The sequence below is a fragment of the Homo sapiens genome, chromosome 15, assembly GCF_000001405.40.
Source record: "Homo sapiens chromosome 15, GRCh38.p14 Primary Assembly".
NCBI classification, from domain to species: domain Eukaryota; kingdom Metazoa; phylum Chordata; class Mammalia; order Primates; family Hominidae; genus Homo; species Homo sapiens.
In genome coordinates, this window is record NC_000015.10 from 65040092 (window position 1) to 65059285 (window position 19194).

At 49.2% G+C, this 19194-nt stretch overlaps 2 protein-coding genes across 8 annotated transcripts in view, besides 2 other annotated features; one reads left to right on the top strand and one right to left on the bottom strand.

The window, feature by feature from the left end:
• The first annotated feature begins 5295 nt into the window (after positions 1-5295).
• SLC51B (SLC51 subunit beta) lies at positions 5296-13306 on the top strand. Of its 2 annotated transcripts, none has more exons than NM_178859.4 (4): positions 5296-5491; positions 9806-10010; positions 11424-11514; positions 12875-13306. In NM_178859.4, the coding sequence occupies exons 2-4, from the start codon at positions 9914-9916 to the stop codon at positions 13071-13073; spliced, it is 387 nt and encodes a 128-aa protein (NP_849190.2). In that variant the 5' UTR covers positions 5296-5491; positions 9806-9913; the 3' UTR covers positions 13074-13306. The 2 variants fall into 2 exon arrangements, with proteins under 2 accessions (NP_849190.2, XP_005254216.1); XM_005254159.6 differs by lacking the exon at positions 5296-5491 and adding an exon at positions 9495-9689.
• The window catches only part of RASL12 (RAS like family 12), a 31088-nt gene continuing 17382 nt past the window's right edge, over positions 5489-19194 (bottom strand). For 4 of the 6 annotated variants that reach the window (NM_001379429.1, XM_011521660.4, NM_001307930.2 and 1 more), the window contains 2 exons: positions 18336-18526; positions 13246-15183 (listed from right to left, as the gene is read on the bottom strand). In NM_001379429.1, the coding sequence (NP_001366358.1) occupies positions 14808-15183; positions 18336-18526 (567 nt within the window). In that variant the 3' untranslated portion in view covers positions 13246-14807. Of the gene's footprint in view, positions 5654-9096; positions 11975-13245; positions 15184-18335; positions 18527-19194 lie in introns of those variants that run through there. The other 2 variants (XM_005254434.5, XM_017022296.2) reach the window with 2 other exon arrangements.
• Positions 14341-14841: an enhancer, noted in NCBI's record as "H3K4me1 hESC enhancer chr15:65346770-65347270 (GRCh37/hg19 assembly coordinates)". NCBI's record gives its function as "activates a minimal SCP1, AML or CMV promoter by ChIP-STARR-seq in primed H9 embryonic stem cells {active_cell/tissue: H9 hESC(primed)}" and the evidence as "EXISTENCE:reporter gene assay evidence [ECO:0000049][PMID:30033119]".
• Positions 14842-15342: an enhancer, noted in NCBI's record as "H3K4me1 hESC enhancer chr15:65347271-65347771 (GRCh37/hg19 assembly coordinates)". NCBI's record gives its function as "activates a minimal SCP1, AML or CMV promoter by ChIP-STARR-seq in primed H9 embryonic stem cells {active_cell/tissue: H9 hESC(primed)}" and the evidence as "EXISTENCE:reporter gene assay evidence [ECO:0000049][PMID:30033119]".

The window sequence follows — 19194 nt, forward strand, 5'->3', positions numbered from 1 at the left end:
AAATGAGGACCAAATGGCAAATATTTTAGGCTTTGTGGGCCAATCGTCACAACTGCTCCATTCTGCTAATGTAATGCCAAAGCAACCCTAGACAATATGTAAACAAATGAGCATGGCGTGTCCCAGTAAGAATTATTATTATTATTATTATTTTTTTTTTTTTTTACAAAACCAGGCTGCAGGTCAGATTTGGCCCATAGGCCAGGTGCGGTGGCTCACGCCTGTAATCCCAGCATTTTGGGAGGCCAAGGCGGGCGGATCATGAGGTCAAGAGATTGAGAACATCCTGACCAACATGGTGAAACCCCATCTCTACTAAAAATACAAAAATTAGCTGGGCGTGGTGGTACGTGCCTGTAGTCCCAACCACTTGGGAGGCTGAGGAAGGAGACTCGATTGAACCCGGGAGGCAGAGATTGCAGTGAGCCAAGATCTCCCCACTGCACTCCAGCCTGGCAACAGAGCGACACTCCATCTCAAAAAAAGAGAAAGATCTGGCCCATAGGTTAACAACCCCTGTCCTGACATGTCCTTTCCACCATCATATCTGTGTTCCAGAAAGAGGAATGAGGAAGTGGAGGGGTTGAATTTTCTCACAAAAACATGATCCACAGGTAGAAATAGTGCAGCATAGTCACACAATAGAATACTACGCTACAACAAGAATGAATGAACCACAACTACACACAACGCGGATGAATCTCACAAGTATAATGTAGAGCAAAAGAAGCTGACACAAAAGATTGCATATTGATTGATTACATTTATATAAAGTATAAAAACAGACAAAATTAATCTATGGTATTAAAAGTCAGGTTGCCTTTGTAAGGGATAGTGACAAGAGAAGACTTCTGAGATCTGGAAATGTTCTATTTCTTTTTCTTTTTTTCTTTTAGAGACAGGGTCTTACTCTGTTGCTTAGGCTGGAGTACAGGATGCAATGGTGCAATTGTTTTATTTGTTGATCTGGATGGCATATGTTCCCATGCATGAGTGTGTCCACATGTGAAAATTCACTAAGCTTACCATTTGTGTACTTTCCTATATGTATACTCCAACAAAAAAAAGTTTGTATAAATTTCAAAAAAAAAAAAATAGTGATTCTGAAGTTGCAATCACTTCTCAGGTCTCTTTCGGCCAAAACTTAGAGGACCACTTATGACTGCAGGGAATCTGGGAAATGCAGGTTCATTAATTTTTTTAATTAATTAATTTATTTATTTATTTTAAGATGGAGTCTTGCTCTGTCACCCAGGCTGGAGTACAATGGCGTGATCTCAGCTCACGCCACCTCCCAGGTTCAAGCGATTCTCCTGCCTCAGCCTCCTGAGTAGCTGGGATTACAGGTGCACGCCACCATGCCTGGCTAATTTGTATTTTTAGGAGAGATGGGGTATCACCATGTTGGCCAGGCTGGTCTTGAACTCCTGACCTCGTGATCCGACCACCTCGGCCTCCCAAAGTGCTGGGATTATAGGCATGAACCACCACGCCTGGCCTGGGAACTGCAGTTTCCAGTTGGGTGGCCATATGCCTCTAAAATTTAGAGGATTCTCTTATTAAAAGGAAGAAGGGAAGAATGTAATCTAGGGGGAAATTAGCAGGCTGTGCTACAGTCCACACAGCAGCACAGGCCCATGACAGTTATCAAATCCTGCTGGGCATGAGCTGTGAAGACCTCCACCCTGGCAGTAGAGTAAGTTCTTTGGTTAGCCCACCTGGCTGCCCTTGCTACTGTTTTCTGGGAATAACTCCCTTGACCTTAGTTCTCTGTATTATCTGAGTTTACTCTCAGATAGGTTATTCGTTTACTATAGAGCATGGTCACACCTTTTTGTCCTTCTTCCCTTTTGCTTTTTTTTCTGCTTGGAACTTGGATATAATGGCAGGAGCTGCATCAGCCATCTAGGGGCCATGAGGGAGTCTTAGAAACCTCAGCCCTGATTTCCTTGGTCTTACGACATTAATAACTGGCTACTTCTGACATTCTTCTATGAGAAAATAAACTCTTATGGTTTAAACCACTGACATTGGGTCTTTGTTACCCAGAGCCAAACACAATTCTCAACTGATATGGAAGGCCTCCCTAAGAAGATGACATTTAAGCTGAGGCTTGAAGGGTTAGCAGGTGGCAGATACCAGAATAGCAGAGGAAAACCAAAAGCCCTTTCCACTCCACTACACTGCTGACTGTCTATCATCCTCTAGGTAGGGAGATAAGAGACTGGAGAAGTCAGGAGAGGAGATTTCAAGGTGGGATTGATTGGCCAGGAATGATAGTGATGCTGTGAGGAAAGGAGGGCTTGGTGATGTGCTCTCATCTCCATGTGTACGTTTCCTTCATGGCACTTGTCACACAGAAGTTGTGATGACATGATGAACACCCGTCTGTCTGTTCTGCTAGACTGGAGTCTCCATGAGGGCAGGGACAATCCTTTCGACTGTTTATCACTGGCATAATGCCTGGCACATGGCAACCATGGAACAAGTTATTGGATAGGCCGTAGTAGAAAGAGCTAGGGTAAGAGGAGGGAGAGAAAAGACACAGAAGCAGAAGAGTGGAAAACCTGGGATTGTGCAGGCTCCTTGTTAAGGGGACACCATCCCATTAGAGCACCACAACACTCCTCAGAGGCAGACAAGGGGGATTGAGGTCAAATGGTTCCTTCAGGCACCCACATGGCATGGGCTGTCCAGCTCACAGCCTGTCTCTCCTGGCTACCCAACAGGCATGATGAGCTCTGAGTTGGCTATCAGTGGTACCCCCCTCCCTAGCCATAACAATTGATCCAAGACATAGGTACATGACTCAGGCTGGACAATTAGAGTCCTTTCCAAGAATTTTTAAACAAGAGCTAAGAAAAGTAGCTACTTCCTCTGCAGCTATGAGAGCATGAGCCTGGGTTTCCTATCATCTGGTCAAGCTTCCCGGAGGTGGCCAGCCTGGGGTAATGAGCCTGGCACCCAGAGAAAAGCAGGGAAAGAGCCACAGAAACAAAGCACTACGGGTCGTCAAATCCCTGGTTCCCGTATGCCTCAGGTCAGCTCCACCCTGCCCTTCCTAGTTTATGAGCCAATAAATTCCTTTTGTGTTTAAGAGAGTTAGTGTTGAGCTTCTCTCTTGAAATCTATCAACTACCTTTCTCTCCAAAATGCACCCTGAATCTGACCACTTCTCATCATCTCCACTGCCACCAGCCTGGTCCAAACTACTAATATGTTTTGCCTGGATGAATATAACAGCCTCCCAATGGTCTCCCTGTTCCTCTCTTGCTCTCCTACAATCCATTTTCCACCCAGCAGGCCAAGTGATCTTAGACAAATGTCAATTAGATTATGTCACTTTCCTGCCTAAACCCTCCAGTGGCTTCTCATCACTTTTAGGGTAAAATACAAACTCCTTACCCTGTTTTACAAGGCCCACCATGAGGAGTGGATACTCCTGTCTGTCCTCTGACTTTATTCCATGCCACTTCCCCCTCATCACTATGATTCAGCTATATTGGCCACCTTTTTGTTCCAGACACATTAAGCTCATTATTTCTTCAGTGTCTTTGTACCTGCTTGCTTTCTTTTCTTTTCTTTTTTTTTCTGAGATGAAGTCTTGCTCTGTTGCCCAGGCTGGAGTGCAGTGGTGCGATCTCAGCTCACTGCAACCTCCGCCTCCCGGGTTCAAGCAGTTCTCCTGTCTCAGCCTCCTGAGTAGCTGGGACTACAGGCGCCTGCCACCACACCTGGCTAATTTTTTTATTTTTAGTAGAGACGGAGTTTCACCTTGTTGGTCAGGCTGGTCTCGAACTCCTGACCTCAGGTGATACACCTGCCTTGGCCTCCCAAAGTGCTGGGATTACAGGCATGAGCCACCACGCCTGGCCTTTGTACCTGCTTTTTCAGGTCTTTGCATGGTTAACCCCTCATCATTCAGTTTTTAGTGTAGTAATATAGTAATCATGTCTCCCCCACCTCATCCCTTTCTATCTTATTATGTTGTTTAAGATATTCACAGAAATGATCACTGCTATAATTATCTTTTAATTATGCTTTTGCTTACTTTTTTGTTGGCTATCTCCCCTGGAGTTTGAGCTCCAATGGAGCAGGGCCCTCACCTGTCTTATTTACCATGTATCTACACAGTAGATGCTCAAGTAACATTTATTCAATGAATAAATGAATGCATTACAAAATGAGGAGGAGCTGGAGTTCCAGGCAGCCCCTAGATTCCCTGTTGGGTCTTCTTTCCTCTGCCCCATGCACACACAGTACACACTGTTGACTAATGTTTAACTCATAGAGGAGTTTGGGCTTGACATGTGACCTCACTCAGCCTCTGTTTCATTTGTGAAGTAAGAAATAAGAGTGGGCGGCTGGGCGTGGTGGCTCATGCCTGTAATCCCAGCACTTTGGGAGTCTGAGGTGGGCAGATCACGAGGTCAGGAGATCAAGACTATCCTGGCTAACACGGTGAAACACCATCTCTACTAAAAATAGAAAAAATTAGCCGGGCATGATGGCACATACTTGTAGTCCCAGCTACTCAGGAGGCTGAGGCAGGAGAATTGCTTGAACCGGGGAGGTGGAGGTTGCAGTGAGCCAAGATTGTGCCACTGCTCTCCAGCCTGGGTGACACAGCGAGACTCCATCTCAAAAAAAAAAAAAAAAAAAAAAAAGGAGTGGGCTTATTTCACATAAGCCCACTCCTTGCTAAACCAACAATGATTGCCTAAGATGCACGGAGCCAGTTGGTGGAAAAGTCCATAGACTATCAGAGTTGAATGGTGCTGGTCAGGTGGGAGGAGCACCTCATTCCTGCTTCCCCATCAAGTTACTTGCCTTGGCCTGCTTCCTACTCTCTGGGTCACTGGTGCTCACACAGCCTTTCCCAACCCCCACCTCCAAAGGTCATATTTTACAGCTCCTTGTGAGGAATTCACATCATGCCATGACCTTCACTATGAGAAAGCACAGGCTGTAAAAGGCCAGCCTGGCTCCCTGCTCCGTGGTTAAATATTGATGATATTGGGCAATAGAGACCTGGAGTGGGCACACTACATATCCCCCTGCAGTGATGGAACCCACAGACCGCAGGTCCTCTGCAGTCCATTCTCCTGCCTGTCCAGAGGATCCGGATGTTTTCTCTTTACTTGAGGCCAACACATAACAATGAAAGCACTGGGCTACTGGTGCTTTCGGATTGTGAAAGTCAGGTGGAGCCTGTTTGCACTCTGAGTGCACTCATTCAAGAGGTCAGTCACCCTGGAGTGATACAGAAGGCTCCAGGCCTGGGCGTGTGCTAAGGCCAGAGCTACCAGATGGGTCCAGCTGCCGCAGGCTCTCCAGGCACTGTCCCCTAAGTGACAGCTGTTACTGCCTGGGAGAGCTCAAGTGCAAAGACTATCCTGTTCTCCCATAAAGAGGAGGAAAAGGAAGATACAGAAATCGGTGCTGCTCCCAACAGCAGATCAAGGCAGTCGTCAGGAACTCAGGATCCGGGGTGAGTGTCCTCATCTTGCCTTGGGGATGGGTGGCCCAGGTCTTTGGCAGAAGTCACAGTCCAATGGCACGATGGTTAAGCCCTGTTTAAAATGCAGAGATCTCCCAGAGGGGCTTAAGGAGACAAGACAACTAAATGCAGTATGACATCCTAAATGGGATCCTGGAACAAGAAAAGAACATTAAAGGCAAAACTAACAAAATGCAAATAAGGCATAAAGTTTAATTTAATCATGCAAATGACAATATGATGCTCACTTTAGAAGCAAACTGGATACGTGCTTTGATAGAAATATGTCTTTGGCCGGGCGCAGTGGCTCACGCCTGTAATTCCAGCACTTTTGGAGGCCGAGGCAGGCCGATCACCTGAGGTCAGGAGTTCGAGACCACCCCGGCTAACGTGGTGAAACCCCATCTCTACTAAAAATACAAAATTGGCCGGGTGCGGTGGCTCATGCCTGTAATCCCAGCACTTTGGGAGGCCGAGGCAGATGGATCACCTCAGGTCAGGAGTTCCGAGACCAGCCTGGCCAATGTGGTGAAATGCTGTCTCTACTAATAATACAAAAATTAGCTGGATGTGGTGGCGGGCACCTATAATCCCAGCTACTCAGGAAGCTGAGGCAGGAGGATCACTTGAACTCGGGAGGCGGAGGTTGCAGTGAGCTGAGATGGTGCCACTACACTCCAGCCTGGGCAACAAGAGTGAAACTCTGTCTCTAAATAAATAAATACAAAATTAGCTGGGCATGGTGGTGGATGCCTATAATCACAGCTACTTGGGAGGCTGAGGCAGGAGAATCACTTGAACCTGGGAGGTGGAGGTTGCAGTGAGCTGAGATCATGCCATTGCACTCCAGCCTGGGCAAAAAGAGTGAAACTCTGTCTCAAAAAAAAGAAAGAAATATGTCGCTTGTTTCTGTGGCATCTAACATAGCTGAGGAGGGCTGACTCTCGGTTCTGGATTTGTATCCAATTTGTCATTTTGGTTTTTTGTTGGTTGGTATGTGTTTACTGTAACAATATTAAACATATTTTAAACATATTTTGGCCAGGCGCGGTGGCTCATGCCTGTAATCCCAGCATTTTGGGAGGACAAGGTGGGCAGGTCGCTTGAACTCAGAAGTTCAAGGCTGGCCTGGGCAAGATGATGAAACCCCATCGCTACAAAAAATACAAAAATTAGCCGGGCGTGGTGGCACATGCCTGTTGTACCAGCTGCTCAGGAGGCTGAGGTGAGAGGATCGCCTGTGCCCGGGAGATGGAGGTTGCAGTGAGCCAAGATGGTGCCATTGCACTCCAGCCTGGGTGACAGAGCCAGACTCTGTCTCAAAAAACAAAAAACAAAAAAACACCACTCCACTGTGGACAATAGCTTACCTGCGTCTTTGTACACTGATCTGATTAGTTCCATTAATTAAATATCAAAAATTGGAATTGTTGTCTCAAAAGGTATAAGTACAATAATACCTACATTTAAAAATGCATACAAAGGCTGGGTGCAGTGGCTCACACCTGTAATCCCAGCACTTTGGGAGGCTGAGGTAGGCGGATCACCAACCTGGCAAACATGGTGAAATCCCATCTCTACTAAAAATACAAAAATTAGCCAGGTGTGGTGGCACATGCCTGTAGTCCCAGCTACTCAGGAGGCTGAGGCAAGAGAATTTCTTGAACCTGGGAGGCGGTGGTTGCAGTGAGCCGAGATCACACCATTGCACTCCAGCCTGGGCAGCAAAAACAAAACTCCATCTCAAAAAAAAAAAAACATACATACAAATAGACAAAATATACATAGAAATATATACACACATTAAAAATGGAATTACATGTATTGTTCTCATGAAAGCAGTGTATACGCATAAGAAACCACACAATACAGGAGTGGTCAACATGAATATCCCATGTGTCTAAATCTCATCCCACACCCTAGAAGAAGACTGTGTTTGGTTTCTCAACTTCAATACTTTTCTTTGTGAGTTCAGGGGTTTGCATATGGCACAGGGGCCTGTGGCTGATGTTACTAATCAATCCAGGCACTCTTACATCTGAGACTGGATGGAATGTCACAATCCTTCTTGGACAGTGCTCTGGACAGTCAGTTGGAGCTAGAACACAAGATCACATCTGTTGGCCATTCTTGTAACTTTGTCTTTCCATGATTTTAGATGGGTAGGTAGGCAGATAGATAGATAGACAGATAGATCGATAGATGATAGATAGATAGATAGATAGATAGATAGATAGATAGATAGAATCTCCCTCAAATGAGTAAGTAGGCAGTGTGCATGTGAGTCCTTGAAAGTCTAAGAAAGGGCCAGGCACGGTGGCTCAGGCCTGTATTCCTAGCATTTTGGGAGGCCGAGGCGAGTGGATTACCTGATGTCACGAGTTCAAGACCAGCCTGGGAAACATGAGGAAACCCCATCATTACTAAAAATACAAAAATTAGCCTGGCGTGGTGGCATGCCCTGTAGTCCCACTACTTGGGAGGCAGAGGCACAAACGAGAACCGCTTGGACCCAGGAGGCATAGGTTGCAGTGAGCTGAGATCACGTCACTGCACTCCAGCCTGGGCGACAGAGCAAGACTCCGTCTCAAAAGAAAAAAAAAGAAAAAAAAAAAAGTCTAAGAAAGGTCTTTTTTTCTCCCTGACTTCCATCTCCACCTTGGCATATGAATGATCATTCACATATGAAAAGCTTAAGTCAGTATTGTATTTGTGTCAAAATATTTTCCCTTGCAATTTGTAGATATGCCTTTTTAGTTTTCTCAGAGCATTTAGTGCTAGAGGAAACTCTGATGTAAAGCTAGTCCTTTTGTTGATACTCCAATTTTCTGTCTGGCTGTTTGCCATCTAGCTGTTTTTGAATGCCCCTGGCTAAGTGTCCAAAGGCTATTTGGGGCTGAGATTGTTGAGCACCTAAGGCAGTGACAGAGTGTGAGGGGACCTGAGAATGCTTCGATCCTCCCTGTACACTTTTTTTCTTGGTGCCCTATGGCATGTTTTATAATTGATCTGTTCAAAACACTTCTCTTGTTTTATTTTAGTTACGTTTATCTCCATTCCTACTCCCTTCCTCCTCCTCCCCAAGACACAGCTTAATGTGTTTAATGCGTGTCCTTTTAAAAAAATGTGTTATTGGGTCAGGCGCGGTGGCTCACTCCTGTAATCCCAGTACTTTGGGAGGCCAAGGCGGGTGGATCACCTGAGGTCAAGAGTTCGAGACCAGCCTGGCCAACATGGTGAAACCCCATCTCTACTAAAAATACAAAAATTAGTGGGGCGGTAGTGACATGCGCCTGTAATTCCAGCTACTTAGGAGGCTGAGACAGGAGAATCGCTTGAACCTGGGAGGCGGAGGTTGCAGTGAGCAGAGATCGTGCCACTGCACTCCAGCCTGGGCGACAGAGTGAGACTCCGTCTCAAAAAAAAAAAAAAAAAAGCGAAATAACTTAACAATTTTAATATTGGCCTGAATAATATATGTTGTCAAAATTAATTTTACCTATTTCTTTTTGTTTTGTAAAGTATGGATGCTAGAAAATTTTATATTAAGTAGTAATAATGCAGTTAGTACAAGAAGACGTCAAAATGTCTGACTGTTTTGAGATTGACTGAGGTTCAGTTTATTATTAATAGTTGGGATGGAAATAGGCCTACACGAAGTAAGGGATTTATCCAGAGAGCATGGATTCAAGTTCTTCCCTTGCAAATAACAGAAACCAATTCTGCTAACTTGTCCAAAAAAAAAAGAAAAAGAAAAAAAAAGCTCTCGGGGTCGGGGCAGGGGGTGCCCTCTCAGCATCAGGAGCCGGCAGCTGCCTTTCCCTCCGGCACTTTTCCCTTTTCTCCTCTCTGTGTCGTAGGCGTGCCAATCCCCAGGAGAGAGGCGTGATAGGCCCAGCCTTTGACATGTGGGGAAACACAGGCCTGTGATTGGCTACCGCATGACACCCAAGGGACAAGTTGCTATGGCAACGCGTGGGCGCGCTGTGGGCTCGTAGAAGCCAGGTGCGGACGCTGAACAGGCAGGCGAAGACCCGAGATGTCCTTTGCAAGGGTCCCAGAACTCGCCAGTGGCTCAGTCCTCCTCACTCCCAGAACAGTGCTCCTCCACACATGCGATGGCTTTTAATAAATATTTGAGTCACTCCCACTTCCAGTCTCTGCCCCTCCAGGCTCCACGTGCTCCTGGGTTCGTTCGGGTCGTTTTTGTCCCATAACTTTGGGCCAGAGGAGATCTGGATTTGGGCACAGAGGGAGATCAAACTCGGGTGGGATATCCAGTCATGCTGTCTGCTTTGTTTCCAGGGGTCTTCACGGCTTCTCTGCCCAGGGGCCAGAACCGAGGAGGCCAGGAGGGCTGCTGGGGCTAAGGGGTCTAAGGACCTCGTTGCACACGCTACCAGGAGCAGGGGCATGGAGCACAGTGAGGGGGCTCCCGGAGACCCAGCCGGTACTGTGGTACCCCAGGAGCTGCTGGAAGAGATGCTTTGGTTTTTTCGTGTGGAAGATGGTAAGTGGTGAGAGATTGACGGCAGGGGTGGGGGTGTGCCCCTCAACACAGAGCAGAGTTTGGCTGAAGGTCCTGACACTGTCGTCCCCTCCAGGTCAGGCGGTACATTTCCTCCAAGACAGGGAATCAGTCGGGGTGTCTCAGTACCCAGAGGGGTCTGGCTGGACCGCCCCTTCCTTTTCTCAGGGTGTGGTCGCTTATTTATGCAGCCCTCCAATCATCACATTTATTAAGCTCCTACTCTGTACCAGACACTGTTCTCAGCACTGGGGCGACAATAGTGAATAAAACACAAAAATCTCTGCCTTCATGGAATGTACATTCTAGTGGGGATTAAAAATAAACAACTAAAACGCATAGTGCGTTGGTGATGAGTAATAAAAAGAAAAATTAAACAGAGAAAGAGAATAGGAAGTATGCAGCAAGGGCAGTAATGTGGTCAAGGAAGGCCTCACTAAAAAGGTGACATTTTTATCATCAGGAAGGTGACTTGCAGGAAACTAAGGAAATAATTAGGTATGCAAATTATTTGGGGGAGGAACATTCCTGGAGGGAGGACAGCAAATGCAAGAGCTCTGAGGCTGGACCCTGCTTCATTTGGGTACAGCATGGACAAATCTTGAGTAGCCACATTCAGTTTAGTCACTTCATGTATTATCTGTGGGCAGTTGCCATTCCTTCCACCCTTCTCCCTGCCTTCTTTCTTTCCTTTTTTTTTCTTTCTTCTTCTTCTTCTTTTTTTTTTTTTTTTTGCCTTTTTTTTGAGGCAGGGTCACTCTGTTGCCCAGGCTGGAGTGCAGTGGTGCAATCTTGGCTCACTGCAAGCTCTGCCTCCTGGATTCAAGTGATTCTCATGCCTCAGTCTCCTGAGTAGCTGGGATTACAGTGTATGCCACCACACCCAGCTAATTTTTGTATTTTTAGTAGAGACAGCATTTCACCATGTTGGCCAGGCTGGTCTTGAACTCCCGACCTCAGGTGATCCACCTGACTCGGCTTCCCAAAGTGCTGGGATTATAGGCGTGAGCCACTGAGCCCAGCCTTCTTTCTTTTCCTTGTGCTCCGCAGGTCCAGCCCAGGCTGGCAAAACTGAAGATTGTGAAGTTTATCTTGGCCCACCTGTCTCCTGCCCTCCGTAGGCCTCTGCCCTTCACCCCTGTTGCCCCACTATTATTTAACTGCAGTACTGTCTCCTCCATTAGATTAGGGCTTCTCCAGAGTAGAGACTGTCTTCCACCCTCCCACCTGTTAGACTGGGAGTGCCCCAGGGCAAGGGGCCCATCTTTGATTAGGGTCTCCACGCAAAGGACAGTTGATGCTGTAAGCTGGGTCTGAGCCCAGGCCCCAGCTGTTAGCGGGCTTGAGAGGTGCCTGGCCATTCCTCAGGGCTCTGTCCTGTGTGTCCTTCCCCAGCATCTCCCTGGAATCATTCCATCCTTGCCCTGGCAGCTGTGGTGGTCATTATAAGCATGGTCCTCCTGGGAAGAAGCATCCAGGCAAGCAGGTGAGGAGCTGGTCCTGGGGGGATGGGGTGGTCTCTGTGGGGTAGAGGCCCTGCCTTCCCAGAGGGAAATCTAGAGAGGGGTCACTTAGGGGTCATTGCTGTCCACCCTTTGGGACAGCAAAATTCAGCCTTCAGTGTCCTTCGAGAACCCCAAGCTGTTAAAAACAAACAAACAAACAAACAAAAAACAGCAACAGTCCCTGATTACCACCCCCTGGCCCTGGACAGGAAGCAGGCATGACCTGGAGGAGTGTAGCCATTCAGAAGGCGAGCTTGCCCCTCTCACCCTATCAGCACACATGCACCTCAGCAAAGTCAACTCAGAGATGAGTGGCTGTCCATGGGTACAGCAGACCTGTTCCCCCTACGACCCAGTCAGAATCTCTAGGCAGACAGCTTACCACCGCTGGGTCCCTCCACTATGGCCAGGAAGTCTAGGGGTACCTTGAATAAAACCAATCTGGAGAGAGGACAGACACATGGGAGTTATTAAGGAAGTGGGCAGTGGGAGCCAATGAAGGTGGTTGGGGGAGGGGAGTGATGTGTACACGATGGGGTTTTAGAAACATGACTGGTGTTGTGCCTAGGCTGGTTTGGAGAAGGAAACACCTAGAGGCAGAGAGATTAGTTAGAAATTTCCTGCAGTAGTGTGAGGGATGAGGTGTGTGGTGACAAGGACCTACGCTAAGTAGGATGACAGTCCAAGGTCAGAGACAGTGTGGTTAGGTGAAAAGAACACAGGATTCAAGAGTCAGGAGGCTTAAGTGCACACACTAGCTATGTGCATCCTTGGCTTTTTTTTTTTTTTTTTTTTTTTGAGACAGTCTCTCTATTGCCCAGGATGGAGTGCAGTGGCACAATCTCGGCTCACTGCAACCTCTGCCTCCCAGGTTCAAGTGATTCTCCTGCTTCAGCCTCCCAAATAGCTGCAATTACAGGCACAACCACACCCAGCTAATTTTTGTATTTTTAGTAGAGATGGGGTTTTGCCATGTTGGCCAGACTGGTCTCAAACACCTGGCCTCAAGTGATCCACCCGCCTCAGCCTCCCAAAGTGCTGGGATTACAGGTGTGAGCCACTGCACCTGGTCTCCTTGAAGCACATTTCCTCACTTGGAAGGTGCGGGGGTGGCAATGATACTTGAGCTCACAGGTGACAGTAAGGATTCCTTGAGATGACACACACTCAAGGGTAAGCCATTTCTCTGTTGAAGGAATATCCAACCATTGCCGCTTCTCCTCTAGTAGCTCCCAAACTGCATAGAGAATTTTCCCCTTAGACTCTTTAAGCCATTTGGGCGACCCAGTCCTGCCCCAACCACTCAGCCCCCCTCATTAACACTGTTCCCTGTCCCCCCAGAAAAGAAAAGATGCAGCCACCAGAAAAAGAAACTCCAGAAGTCCTGCATTTGGATGAGGCCAAGGATCACAACAGCCTAAACAACCTAAGAGAAACTTTGCTCTCAGAAAAGCCAAACTTGGCCCAGGTGGAACTTGAGTTAAAAGAGAGAGATGTGCTGTCAGTTTTCCTTCCGGATGTACCAGAAACTGAGAGCTAGTGAGGGTTCAGAGAAGCCCCATCCTAAGCCAGACACATGATGTGGGCTCAGCTCAGTGGCCTGAAACCTCTCAGGTTTTAGAGTCTCTCCCAAGAAGCCGCTTTTTTCTTTTTCTTTCTTTCTTTTTTTTTTTCTTAGCAGATACAATGAATGAACTGCAAGCAAACTAAAATTCTGTTATTAAAAAAAATCTTTTATTAAAATGCTCCTGGAAGGGAGCAGGTGGTATTGCATAGTTTGTTCAGATGGCAGTGGTACACACACACATACACACACAAGTGGCCTGGAGCAAAAGTGCAAAATCCGTAGCTGGCCTGTGGGTCGGGAAGCCTGTAGGACTGCAAGCATGTGGTCTTGAGTAGTTCACAGCCCCCCTCTGACCTCAGCTCCTCCATTTACAGAATGAGTCCGAAGACTGGGTCAGAGATGCTGTTTGCAATCCAACAGTAGTCCTGAGACGGCTGAGAGGGGAAGGAGCAGGCTTCCAGGCCCAGAATCCCCTTCCCAATCCTTCCACCCACCAGGACCCTCTCTTTTCCCTGCTTGTCTGCTAAGAGTCTGTGCAAGACTTCCCTGGGACCTGGCGTGTGGTAAACAAAATCAGACAACTACCACACTGCCTGCCTTGGACAGCCTTTTCTTGCTAACAGTGGGATCTCAAAGGTGTGTCCTGATCCCATGTCTGAGCCATGGTGTCTTGGTATAAGCTGCGGTGACACCACCAAATAACATAAGCAAAATTTTGCTTTATTAACCCAAAATGCTTTAGGTTCTAAAGTGGGCTTTGAACACTCAGACTCATTGCTGAGGGTCCTGGGTCCTGCCAAACCAGATGACAAACGGGTATACTGTGTTTCTACCTGCAGGGGGGCAGGCCCTGTAGCCCCTGGATGGGTCTGATGCTGCTGTGGGCTCCCTGGAGCCCTGGGTAACTCACTGGAGTGACAACTTTCTTCTGCAGCCTGGATCATTAAGCTTGAGGGAGCTGATGCTGAGGTTCTTTGGACAGAGTCCTTAACAGTGGGAAAACACATGGAGAATCTGTCTGCTGGTGAAAGAACTCTGGGGCTCCTTATGCTGGACAACCTACAGTCCCTCCCTTTTATCCTCATTGAGACGCCAAGTGTTGGAAATACCCCTTCCTGGGGCTTCTGTCCATTGGATTATTTTAACTAGATTTTCCTTGGATAAACTGTGGGGTTTGTAGCCTGGGCCTTCTGTGAAGTCAGCAGATGACAGGAGGGCCAGGCTCTGGCCTCTGAAACTGCAGCCGCCCTGCCTTTCCCGTCCACCAGGTGGCACAAGGACCCCAGGCTGTCATTCCGCAGGCTGTTCTCGGGCCTGACATTGACAGAGCCATCCACCCAGACCATCCACTAAGGCCACAGCTGGCCCAACTGTAGCTGGAGCAGGAAGGGCTGATGGCAGCAGGATAGACACTGCAATTTCTTCCTACTTAAGGCTGACCCCAGGTCTCTGGGTTGTCACAGTGGCTGTTTCCCTCTACGGCCACAGACGCGGTGGTTACCATGAAGACCAAGGCCTGGAGGGAACAGAAGCAGCATCCCTGCCTGCCACTCCAGCTCACACAGTGAATTGAGTGTAGGGACACTGCTTGGTGCTGGAGGCGGGGTCTGCTGTCCATCAGACGGAAAGGCTGGTGGTGAGAAGCCAGTCCCTGTCCTGCTGCAGTCCTGTCCAGCCACCGAGCCTAGGCTTCCTGGGGAGGGGGCCTCAGAAGATCTTGAAGCCCTTCAGGAGAGTCAGGGTAGGCGCCTTGCGCTTGCTCTGGGCCCGGGATGACTTCACGGTGACCAGCTTGGCCTGGGCCACAGTGGGCATCTCCTTCAGGTTGATGGTGGAGAGCGTGTTGAAGGTGCAGCTGGCCAGCCCATGCCGCGCGGTGAGCGGGGCCTGGTGGGGCAGGGCCCTCTCCTCGGAGATGAAGAGGGGCCGGGTCAGGGGGCTCTTCTCCAGCTCCCGCCGTGCCTCTCGCACTGCCTCGTGGAAGACATGCTGCACGTGCTCAAAGTCCAGACAGGCAGAGACCTCGAAAAACAGGCACCCAAACCTGCCTGCCAAAGCCACACCCTCTGCCTTGGTGACTTGCCTGGTGAGGAAGCAGTGTGAGGCAGGGAGTTAGGAGCAGGCTGTGCCAAGTCAGGCAGACCAGCTCCTACACCCAGCGCCCCATGGACTAGCTGGGTGGCCTGGGGTCATCTTCACCTCTCTGAGTCTCAGCGTTCTTATCAGTACAGTGGGTTACTGCCCTCTGCCTCTCAGGGTTGTTAGGATTACGAAAGACAATTTGTTTCAAGTGCTTAGCACAGTACCTGGCACAGAGTCAGTGCTCAATAAATGGTAGCTGATGTCACCCAGGCCAGAATTTTGGGATGAGGGTAAGGGTAAGAAGCTACTCCAAATCCCCTATGCTAGACCCTGCCTGTGGCTGGAGGAAGCAGGCCATTCCCAGCCCCATCTCTTCTCTACCCCATCGTGGGTCCCTGGGGCAGGAAACAGGCCACCCACAGCTCTGGCTTGTGGGATCAGCTCTAGAGAGAAGCAGTCGTTTGGACTGAAGGGTTAGACCACAGAGGTGACTCCAGAAGCCTGTGGTTGGCAGAGTTCTCAGGGCTCCTGGGGTTTGTGTTTGTGAAAATTCATTATTCAAGCCCTCACAATGACAAAGTTGCAGATTCAAGCTCATCATAAAAGCAAATAATAAAACCAGGGCAGAGGCAGGAGAGGGCAGGGGGGACAACATTTCATGGTGAGGAGGGCAAAAGGAGAGAGGGGGCAACACCTATTCTGCCTTGGTCCTACACCACCTCCCGTGAAGGGAGGATAGAATATCCGGAACTTGGGAAGGTCCTGGAGGCTTCTGACCTGAAAGCCATGGGAATCGAGGCGGGAAGAAAAAGAAGACTGGCCTTGCATAGGTCGGATGTCTACAAGAGGGAAGAGATGGGGGGGTCCCTGAGATCTTGGGGCCAAGACTCCACTGGCTGGATCTTCCTGACCTACTGCTGAGCTGTCCCGCTGCCCATTCCCGAGGATAATGGCACAGCCACTAGATGAGAGGAGGCACTCGAGTGGGCCATGGTGGGAAAAGTTTCTGAGCCCAAGGCTGACCTGGCAGGAGCAGGGGCTGAGAGTGGGCTAGCTTCCCAGAGTGCCACTCCATGGTGAGGCACGCGGTCTCAGAGAGAGTGAGTAACTGGGACAAAAAAGAGTCAGAGGCATCGGATCTATTCCCCACCCAGGGCTGGGTGCCGTGGTGCCAGTAAGCTCACCGCTTCCTGAGGAACCCTTTTGGAAAGAACACTTGCTATTATTTGCTTTTATGATGAGCTTGAATCTGCAACTTTGTCATTGTGGGGGCTTGAATAATGAATTTTCACAAACACAAACCCCATGTGTGCGTGCATGTGTGTGAGTGGGTGACAGAGGCACAGAACATTGTCCTTTTTCTTATTTTGTTGCATCCTAGGGAAAATTTTATCAGTGGCTTGGGAAGCATCAACCTAACCGACATTTTACCCTTTTAACAGTGAGACAGTCGTGGGAGACAATGGCCAATGCTCAGCTAAAAGTTAGACTTCCTGTGCTTCCCAGAATCCTAATCTACTAAACTTGGGACTTGATCGAAGAATGAAATAGGAATACATTGTCCTGAGTTGTTTTTAGGGAACGGGTGGGATCAGCTTCATTTGAGCATGTATGCTTTGTTATTTGCTCCCAAACCATTTTAGACAATCCCTTTGGCAAAGATTGGGGTCAAAAGAGTGATCTGTGCTTTTTTCCCTGTACTGAAAACTGGCCTACTCACAATCCAGTCTTCTGACCCCTAAGAGGGTCTGCAATTCCTCAAAGACTACCTTCAGCAGCTTTCAGGTCACATGACTTCCCTCATTCTCTGAGACACAATTTGCCTAGGTCTGAGGGCTTGGCCACCTTTGAAGGCCTCTCACCATAGTCCCCTTTCACGGTCCCACACCTCTCTTTTTCCCACGGCCCATCTGACCCGTTCTAAACAAAGGGTCCCTTCCTTGCTAACACCAGTCAATGTGCCCTTGGGGCCTAGGGCAGCAGGACTGACCAACCGTGAACAGGGAGGGATGAGTGGCTGGTGGAAGGGGCTATCCCTTGCAGGTAGACTGGCCACAGAGGACAAAGGTCAGTGCTGGAGAAATCCAGTGGCATTACTCATCAAGTTCAGGCATCACAGTGTCAAATGCTTCAGGGCCAGGCGGGCAACTTGAATGTGTGGAAAGGGTGGAGGTAAACCACGGGGAGTGGTGAGGCCTGGGGTCGGCTGGAGAGAGCGTGCCCCACCTCAAAGCATTCCAATTCTAGGTCTTTTAAGACACTATGCCAGCCAAGCAAAATATGGCTGCAGTATTCTTCAGTAATGCATCCTCTGGCCCAGTCTCTGACCTCCGATTCGAGTCCAACCCTTTCTAAGAGAACCTGCCCTCAGCCCAGCCAACTGTGGGAGTGAGAGTGGGAGGCTGCGTCTGGGTGAGGTGAGAGCCGATTGGACCAGAGCAGACACCTGACCAAGGAGCCCATCAGAGCCTCTCTCCTTAGAATTGGAATTGGGCACTAGACCAGTCAGCTGCTGGGAGTGAGATCGGAAGGTCAGATAGATTCATGCAAGAAGGGTGAGTCCAAGAGAATCCACAGAGACCCAAGAGCGCGGAAGGAGTGGCCACTCTTCTGACTTTCAGGGTGCAGTTGCTGTGTGACCCAGAAGCGTTTCCCTTCAAGTCCTTGGCTGCCTGGAAGACCAACATCTACCATACCCTTACAACATAATCCCTGTGGTCGGGCACGGTGGCTCACGCCTGTAATCCCACACTTTGGGAGGCTGAGGCAGGCGGATCATGAGTTCAGGAGTTCAAGACCAGCCTGGCCAAAAAGGCGAAACCCCATCTCTACTAAAAACACAAAAATTAGCCTGGCATGGTGGCAGGAACCTGTAATCCCAGCTACTGGGGAGGCTGAGGCAGGAGAATCACTTGAACCCAGGAGGTGGAGGTTGCAGTGAGCCGAGATGGTGCCATTGCACTCCAGCCTGGGTGACACAGTGAGACTCTGTCTCAGAAAACAAACACACACACAAACAAACATATAATCCCTTCTACCACAATTCAAGGGGATGACTGTTCTTAGCAGCCCACTAATCCCTCAAGATGCCACCTGACCTTACAAGTGAAGAAAGCGAGCTCTGGAGATAACGGCCAAGCAGGCTGTGCTCACCTGTACTGAGCCATGTCCAGCTTGTTGCCCAGCAGCAGGGCAGGGATGCTGCGCTGTGTCTCCTTCGCGTGCAAGGCAAGCAGCTCCAGGTAGCTGCTGCTGCTATCAAAGCTCTGGCGGCTGTCGACGCTGTACACCACCAGGAAGGCATGGGCCCAGTTCAGGTAGCGCTCGCAGTTCCTGGGGGTGTCCTGGGGTGAAGGTGAGAAGCCCCGCCGGGGGGCAGAGGAGGTTGGGGTAAAGGCCTTCACCTGAGCCGCCCAATCCCACCTCCCCACTCCCCGGTCTTTGTATATTGTTTCTCAGCAGAGCCCTTTCAAAGGGGCACTTGAGTGTGGATTTGGCTTGGTGTGAAAGGAGACATTGTCTCATGAACCTCCCTCCCACCACCCAGCCAGAGACTTGGAGACCTTGGCCCCTTGGGCCCAGAGCCAAAGACTCTGGCATGGTCCCTACAGAGACCTGGCTGTCCCTGGGCACCACTGGTTTTGGGTTGAGTTCATGCTGCCCCTTTGGCTTCTGAGAGTAACTGGCATCCAGCCTTGGCAGGGGGTGGTGAGGACATGGGGGGAGACTTGTGTGTGGGAGAGACCTGGGCCGAGGGGCTCTCACCAGGAGCATCTGTGTAAACAGGTGTGCACCTGTCTCCTCGTGTGCACAGGCACAGAGCCCCACAGCACAGGATCTCAGAGCAGATGCCAGCAACCATCATGTCTCTCCAGGCCCTGTCCCATCCTTCTCATTTGGCAAAGGAAGGATTCAGACCCAGAGAGGTCAAGTGCCTCATTCAGGGTTACACAGCAAAGTTGAGCTTAAAAGGCATCTAAATGCCTATCTGAGGTCCCGCACTCTGGGCCAG